This window comes from Homo sapiens, chromosome 8, assembly GCF_000001405.40.
Source record: "Homo sapiens chromosome 8, GRCh38.p14 Primary Assembly".
Classification (NCBI taxonomy): Eukaryota; Metazoa; Chordata; class Mammalia; order Primates; family Hominidae; genus Homo; species Homo sapiens.
This window is the reverse complement of record NC_000008.11, coordinates 27545907-27554371: the sequence shown is the minus strand read 5'-3', so window position 1 is coordinate 27554371 and position 8465 is coordinate 27545907. Positions and strand designations below refer to the sequence as shown.

General features: G+C 40.6%; 1 protein-coding gene across 1 annotated transcript in view; it reads right to left on the bottom strand.

Annotated features, from left to right (window-relative positions):
- Positions 1–5745: 5745 nt before the first annotated feature.
- EPHX2 (epoxide hydrolase 2) overlaps positions 5746–8465 on the bottom strand; it is a 57484-nt gene continuing 54764 nt past the window's right edge. Inside the window, exon 19 of the mRNA NM_001414017.1 lies at positions 5746–6529. Within this exon, the coding sequence (NP_001400946.1) occupies positions 6466–6529 (64 nt within the window). The 3' untranslated portion in view covers positions 5746–6465. The remainder of the gene's footprint in view (positions 6530–8465) is intronic.

The following is an 8465-nucleotide window of genomic DNA, read 5'->3' as shown; positions in this document are numbered from 1 at the left end:
ATTACTCCGAGCTATGGGAGGACATTCAAACCAAAGGCAAAGAAGTTGAAAACTTTGAAAAAAATTTAGAAGAATATATAACTAGAATAACCAATACAGAGAAGTGCTTAAAGGAGCTGATGGAGCTGAAAACCAAGGCTTGAGAACTACGTGAAGAATGCAGAAGCCTCAGGAGCCGATGCGATCAACTGGAAGAAAGGGTATCAGCGATGGAAGATGAAATGAATGAAGTGAAGCAAGAAGGGAAGTTTAGAGAGAAAAGAATAAAAAGAAACGAGCAAAGCCTCCAAGAAATATGGGACTATGTGAAAAGACCAAATCTACGGCTGATTGGTGCACCTGAAAGTGACGAGGAGAATGGAACCAAGTTGGAAAACACTCTGCAGGATATTATCCAGGAGAACTTCCCCAATCTAGCAAGGCAGGCCAACATTCAGATTCAGGAAATACAGAGAACGCCACAAAGATACTCCTCGAGAAGAGCAACTCCAAGACACATAATTGTTAGATTCACCAAAGTTGAAATGAAGGAAAAAATGTTAAGGGCAGCCAGAGAGAAAGGTCGGGTTACCCTCAAAGGGAAGCCCATCAGACTAACAGCGGATCTCTCGGCAGAAACTCTACAAGCCAGAAGAGAGTGGGGGCCAATATTCAACATTCTTAAAGAAAAGAATTTTCAACCCATAATTTCATATCCAGCCAAACTAAGCTTCATAAGTGAAAGAGAAATAAAATACTTTACAGACAAGCAGATGCTGACAGATTTCGTCACCACCAGGCCTGCCCTAAAAGAGCTCCTGAAGGAAGCGCTGAACATGGAAAGGAACAACCGGTACCAGCCGCTGCAAAATCATGCCAAAATGTAAAGACCATCGAGACTAGGAAGAAACTGCATCAACTAAGGAGCAAAATAACTAGCTAACATCATAATGACAGGATCAAATTCACACATAACAATATTAACTTTAAATGTAAATGGACTAAACGCTCCAATTAAAAGACACAGACTGGCAAATTGGATAAAGAGTCAAGACCCATCAGTGTGCTGTATTCAGGAAACCCATCTCACGTGCAGAGACACACATAGGCTCAAAATAAAAGGATGGAGGAAGATCTACCAAGCAAATGGAAAACAAAAAAAGGCAGGGGTTGCAATCCTAGTCTCTGATAAAACAGACTTTAAACCAACAAACATCAAAAGAGACAAAGAAGGCCATTACATAATGGTAAAGGGATCAATTCAACAAGAAGAGCTAACTATCCTAAATATATATGCACCCAATACAGGAGCACCCAGATTCATAAAGCAAGTCCTGAGTGACCTACAAAGAGACTTAGACTCCCACACATTAATAATGGGAGACTTTAACACCCCACTGTCAACATTAGACAGATCAATGAGACAGAAAGTCAACAAGGATACCCAGGAATTGAACTCAGCTCTGCACCAAGCGGACCTAATAGACATCTACAGAACTCTCCACCCCAAATCAACAGAATATACATTTTTTTCAGCACCACACCACACCTATTCCAAAATTGACCACATACTTGAAAGTAAAGCTCTCCTCAGCAAATGTAAAAGAACAGAAATTATAACAAACTATCTCTCAGACCACAGTGCAATCAAACTAGAACTCAGGATTAAGAATCTCACTCAAAACTGCTCAACTACATGGAAACTGAACAACCTGCTCCTGAATGACTACTGGGTACATAACGAAATGAAGGCAGAAATAAAGATGTTCTTTGAAATCAACGAGAACAAAGACACAACATACCAGAATCTCTGGGACGCATTCAAAGCAGTGTGTAGAGGGAAATTTATAGCACTAAATGCCCACAAGAGAAAGCAGGAAAGATCCAAAATTGACACCCTAACATCACAATTAAAAGAACTAGAAAAGCAAGAGCAAACAAATGCAAAAGCTAGCAGAAGGCAAGAAGTAACTAAAATCAGAGCAGAACTGAAGGAAATAGAGACACAAAAAACCCTTCAAAAAATTAATGAATCCAGGAGCTGGTTTTTTGAAAGGATCAACAAAATTGATAGACCGCTAGCAAGACTAATAAAGAAAAAAAGAGAGAAGAATCAAATAGATGCAATAAAAAATGATAAAGGGGATGTCACCACTGATCCCACAGAAATACAAACTACCATCAGAGAATACTACAAACACCTCTACGCAAATAAACTAGAAAATCTAGAAGAAATGGATAAATTCCTTGACACATACATCTCCCAAGACTAAACCAGGAAGAAGTTGAATCTCTGAATAGACCAATAACAGGCTCTGAAATTGTGGCAATAATCAATAGCTTACCAACCAAAAAGAGTCCAGGACCAGATAGATTCACAGCTGAATTCTACCAGAGGTACAAGGAGGAACTGGTACCATTCCTTCTGAAACTATTCCAATCAATAGAAAAAGAGGGAATCCTCCCTAACTCATTTTATGAGGCCAGCATCATCCTGATACCAAAGCCGGGCAGAGACACAACCAAAAAAGAGAATTTTAGACCAATATCCTTCATGAACATTGATGCAAAAATCCTCAATAAAATACTGGCAAACCAAGTCCAGCAGCACATCAAAAAGCTGATCCACCATGATCAAGTGGGCTTCATCCCTGGGATGCAAGGCTGGTTCAATATATGCAAATCAATAAATGTAATCCAGCATATAAACAGAACCAAAGACAAAAACCACATGATTATCTCAATAGATGCACAAAGGCCTTTGACAAAATTCAACAACTCTTCATGCTAAAAATTCTCAATAAATTAGGTACTGATGGGACATATTTCAAAATAATAAGAGCTATCTATGACAAACCCACAGCCAATATCATACTGAATGGGCAAAAACTGGAAGCATTCCCTTTGAAAACTGGCACAAGACAGGGATGCCCTCTCTCACCACTCCTATTCAACATAGTGTTGGAAGTTCTGGCCAGGGAAATTAGGCAGGAGAAGGAAATAAAGGGTATTCAATTAGGGAAAGAGGAAGTCAAATTGTCCCTGTTTGCAGATGACATGATCCTATATCTAGAAAACCCCATTGTCTCAGCCCAAAATCTCCTTAAGCTGATAAGCAACTTCAGCAAAGTCTCAGGATACAAAATCAATGTACACAAATCACGAGCATTCTTATACACCAACAACAGACTGTAAACAGAGAGCCAAATCATGAGTGAACTCCCATTCACAATTGCTTCAAAGAGAATAAAATACCTAGGAATCCAACTTACAAGGGATGTGAAGGACCTCTTCAAGGAGAACTACAAACCACTGCTCAAGGAAATAAAAGAGGATACAAACAAATGGAAGAACATTCCATGCTCACGGGTAGGAAGAATCAATATCGTGAAAATGGCCATACTGCCCAAGGTAATTTACAGATTCAATGCCATCCCCATCAAGCTACCAATGATTTTCTTCACAGAATTGGAAAAAACTACTTTAAAGTTCATATGGAACCAAAAAAGAGCCCGCATCGCCAAGTCAATCCTAAGCCAAAAGAACAAAGCTGGGGGCATCACACTACCTGACTTCAAACTATACTACAAGGCTACAGTAACCAAAACAGCATGGTACTGGTACCAAAACAGAGATATAGATCAATGGAACAGAACAGAGCCCTCAGAAATAACGCCGCATATCTACAACTATCTGATCTTTGACAAACCTGAGAAAAACAAGCAATGGGGAAAGGATTCCCTATTTAATAAATGGTGCTGGGAAAACTGGCTAGCCATATGTAGAAAGCTGAAACTGGATCCCTTCCTTACACCTTATACAAAAATCAATTCAAGATGGATTAAAGACTTAAACGTTAGACCTAAAACCATAAAAACCCTAGAAGTAAACCTAGGCATTACCATTCAGGACATAGGCATGGGCAAGGACTTCATGTCTAAAACACCAAAAGCAATGGCAACAAAAGCCAAAATTGACAAATGGAATCTAATTAAACTAAAGAGCTTCTACACAGCAAAAGAAACTACCATCAGAGTGAACATGCAACCCACAAAATGCGAGAAAATTTTTGCAACCTACTCATCTGACAAAGGGCTAATATCCAGAATCTACAATGAACTCCTATAAATTTACAAGAAAAAACAAACAACCCCATCAAAAAGTGGGTGAAGGACATGAACAGACACTTCTCAAAAGAAGACATTTATGCAGCCAAAAAACACATGAAAAAAATGCTCACCATCACTGGCCATCAGAGAAATGCAAATCAAAACCACAATGATATACCATCTCACACCAGTTAGAATGGCAATCATTAAAAAGTCAGGAAACAACAGGTGCTGGAGAGGATGTGGAGAAATAGGAACACTTTTACACTGTTGGTGGGACTGTAAACTAGTTCAACCATTGTGGAAGTCAATGTGGCGATTCCTCAGGGATCTAGAACTAGAAATACCATTTGACCCAGCCATCCCATTACTGGGTATATACCCAAAGGACTATAAATCATGCTGCTATAAAGACACATGCACACGTATGTTTATTGCGGCATTATTCACAATAGCAAAGACTTGGAACCAACCCAAATGTCCAACAATGATAGACTGGATTAAGAAAATGTGGCACACAGACACCATGGAATACTATGCAGCCATCAAAAATGATAAGTTCATGTCCTTTGTAGGGACATGGATGAAATTGGAAATCATTATTCTCAGTAAACTATCGCAAGAACAAAAAACCAAACACCGCATATTCTCACTCATAGGTGGGAATTGAACAATGAGAACACATGGACACAGGAAGGGGAACATCACACTCTGGGGACTATTGTGGGTGGGGGGAGAGGGGAGGAATAGCATTGGGAGATATACCTAATGCTAGATGACGAGTTAGTGGGTGCAGCACACCAGCATGGCACATGTATACATACATATGTAACTAACCTGCACATTGTGCACATGTACCCTAAAACTTAAAGTATAATAATAATAAATAAATTTAAAAAAAGGAAAGATATTCAACATCACTAATCATTAGGGAAATTCAAATAAAACCATCATGGGACATCACATGGCCATTCTATATATTAAAAAAACAGAAAATGGAAACCAGCTATGGAAAACCATCTGGTGGTTCTTCAAAATATTAAACATAGAAATTACAATATAATCTAGCCATTCCATTTTTTGATATATACCCAAAAGGACTGAATTCAGAGCCCTAAAGAGATATGTGTACACTGATGCTCAGAGCATTATTCATAATAGCCAAAATATGGAAGCCATCCAAGTGCCCATTGCTGAATGAGTAGGTAAACAAAACGTGGTCTATACATACAATGGAATATTATTTGGCCTTAAAAAGAAAGAAAATTCCAACACATGCGACAACATGAATGAACCTCGAGGACATTAGGCTATTTATTTATTTATAGAGATGGAATTTCCCTCTTGTCGCCCAGGCTGGAGTGCAATGGCATGATCTTGGTTCACTGCAACCTCCGCCTCTGGGTTCAAGCGATTCTTCTGCCTCAGCCTCCCAAGTAGCAGAGATTACAGGTGCCCACCACCACACCTAGCTAATTTTGTATTTGTAGTAGAGATGGGGTTTTGCCATATTAGCTGGGCTGGTCTTGAACCCCTGACCTCAGGTGATCCGCCCGCCTCGGCCTCCCAAATTGCTGGGATTACAGATGTGAGCCACCATGCCCGATCAAATTTTAATTATTTTAACTTGAAACTAATGCATTTGTCCATTCATCCATTTGTGCATATACTCTCCAATTTATTCAGCAAACGTCTAATGAGCATTTTACATATGCCAGGCCAGTGCTGGGTTGGGTTTCAGGACGAATTACTTAGACAGGCAGCCCCCGATCTCAGGGCCCTCACAGTCTAACAGGGAGACAGACAGTTACACATTTGGGTGCAGGAGTTGACACTTTACAATTGCTCAGGCAAGAAAGTATTTTATCATTTGTGGCCAGATGGAGTCCTTTGAACAGTGAGGCATAATATTTGTCACCCAATTCCTGTTGGAAAAAAACCCTTTGAGCCTCTGACCTAGATATTTTAACCATTGTTTGCTTTTAATTTGTATTGATGGTAATGTGGCTGTGAACGACACGGAAACTGGTGGACAGTCATGTCAAGGTCTAAAACCGTGGGTTCCCTATACCCCAAGACAGACAGAAATAGCTTTTTGTCCTGTCTAGTCTAATAGACTCACTTTTTAGAAGACGGGTCTCCTGGAAACCTTGGATGTTGCTAATTGACAGCCACTAAGTGGTCCTTCCTTGACAGAATATGTGAGTGATCTCAGCCTCCTCCCGGGAGCAGCACAACCCACTGCTGGAGGGTGTGAGAGAGAATATGAAGACTGCTGGACCTCTTTTTTAAGGGCCGATTTCTTTTAGCAGAGGGGAATATACTTGTAATCTATTCCCTTTGTAATCATGAAATAAAAATAACATATTTTTACTATTCAGCCACAAAAAAAGAATGAAATCTTGTCTCTCGCAGCAACGCGGATGGAAATGGAGAGCATTCTGTTAAGTGAAATAAGCCAGAAACAGAAAGTGAAACACCACATGTTCTCACTCACATGCAGAAGCTAAAAAAAAATTCATTTCCTAGAAGTAAAAAGTAGAATGGAGGATAGGAGGCTGGGAAGGGTTGGGGAAGAGGTGGGGGATAGGGAGGGATTTAAGGAATGTCAAATTCCAGCTAGATGGGAGGAGTAAGTTCTAGCGTTGTATAGCACTGAGCAATGACTACAGTCAACAATGATACATTGTTTTAAATAGCCAGAAGGAGGTTATTAAATGTCCTCAATACAAAAACGATAAATGTTTGAGATGACATGTGTAATTACCCTGATCTGATTGCTACACATTATATGTATCAAAACATCACTATGTACCCCATGAATATGTACTAGTATGTTAATTACAAATTAAATTCAATCCCAAAATATAGCATTTTATAATTAAATCATTTTGAACACACTCCTTGCCATTTGTACTTAAAATGGCATCTGAAAATCTTCCCTGATTGTTCCAGGGAATGCCCTGATACCACCACTGCAACAGTTGACGTGTGGCCCAAAGGTCCTCAAAGCAGACCAGGAAACATAGCCCTGGACATTCCACTATCTTCTTGAAAAACCTAAAGACCTCTTCCAGTCCACTGTCCTTTATGGCCCTTGATACGGTTTGGATTTCTGTCCCCACCCAAATCTCACGTCAAATTGTAATCCACGATGTTGGAAGTGGGGCCTGGTGGGCAGTGACTGGATCTTGGGGGCGGATTTCCCCCTTGCTGTTCTCGTGATGGTGAGTTCCCATGAGATCTGGTTGTTTATAAAAGTGTGTAGCACCTCCCCCTTCTCTTTCTCTCTCCCTCCTGTTCTAGACACGTAGGATGTGCCTGCTTCCCCTTCACCGTCTGCCATGATTGTAAGTTTTCTGGAGCCTCCCCAGCCATGCTTTCTGTAAAGCCTGCAGAACCGTGAGCCAATTAAACCTCTTTTCTTTATAAAGTAGCCAGTCTCCAGTAGTTCGTTATGGCAATGGGAGAACAGACCGATACAGCCCTCAATCTTGTATAACCAGTTATATTTTCTGGCAATGCTATGGAATGGAGTTATTCAACTCTTACTTGCCAAAGGAGCAGAATTTCTGAGGCCTTTTTGATGGCTGATGGAGATGACTGGATAGAATATTAAAAGCGAGACTTTCGGGAAGACAGGTTTGCTGTTTGTGCTCCTTCCAGTAAAGGACGCTTTTAGGTTTTGATTATTTCCTTTCCCCCAACTGCTCCCTTACAAATGAGCTTGAATACACCCAGTTAGGAAAATAATGTGATCTGGTGTAAGCCTTTCCCCCAGTCCTCATGATTGCCTTTAAATTAGCCCTTTAATTCTCAGATGCAAAAGATTGAGATGGTGGTGGCATGGCTGGAAATGGAAAGCCCTTAGAGGTCTTGTCCTAAGACAAACTGGAAATCTTATAGCTGATACTTCCATAGCACTTCCTCCATGCCAAGCACTGTTCTAGAACTCTGTGCATATTATTAACATACTTGATACAACCACCCATGAGTTAGGTCCTACTAACGTCCCCTTTTTTATAGATGAGGGAACTGGGGCACAGATATCCTTTTTCAAGGTCACAAGGCGAGTATGCAGCTGACCGGAGGCCTAACCTAGGTGGTCTGGCTCCAGATTTAGAAAGGAGAACTTCTCTTTTTTTTTTTTTTTTTGAGTCGGAGTCTCAATCTGTTGCCCAGGCTGGAGTGCAGTGGCGCGACGAGAACATTTTTTTGTAGAAAAAGCTCAGCCTTAGGAGCCAGAAAGCCTGCTTCTGAATCCAGGCTCTGCCCCCATCTAGCCAAGCAGTCCTGGGCAAATTATCTGAACCTCAGTTTCCCTCTCGGTTAAATGGGAAGGACTCTCTGGAAGGATCAGAGGTGGTGCATGGAAGA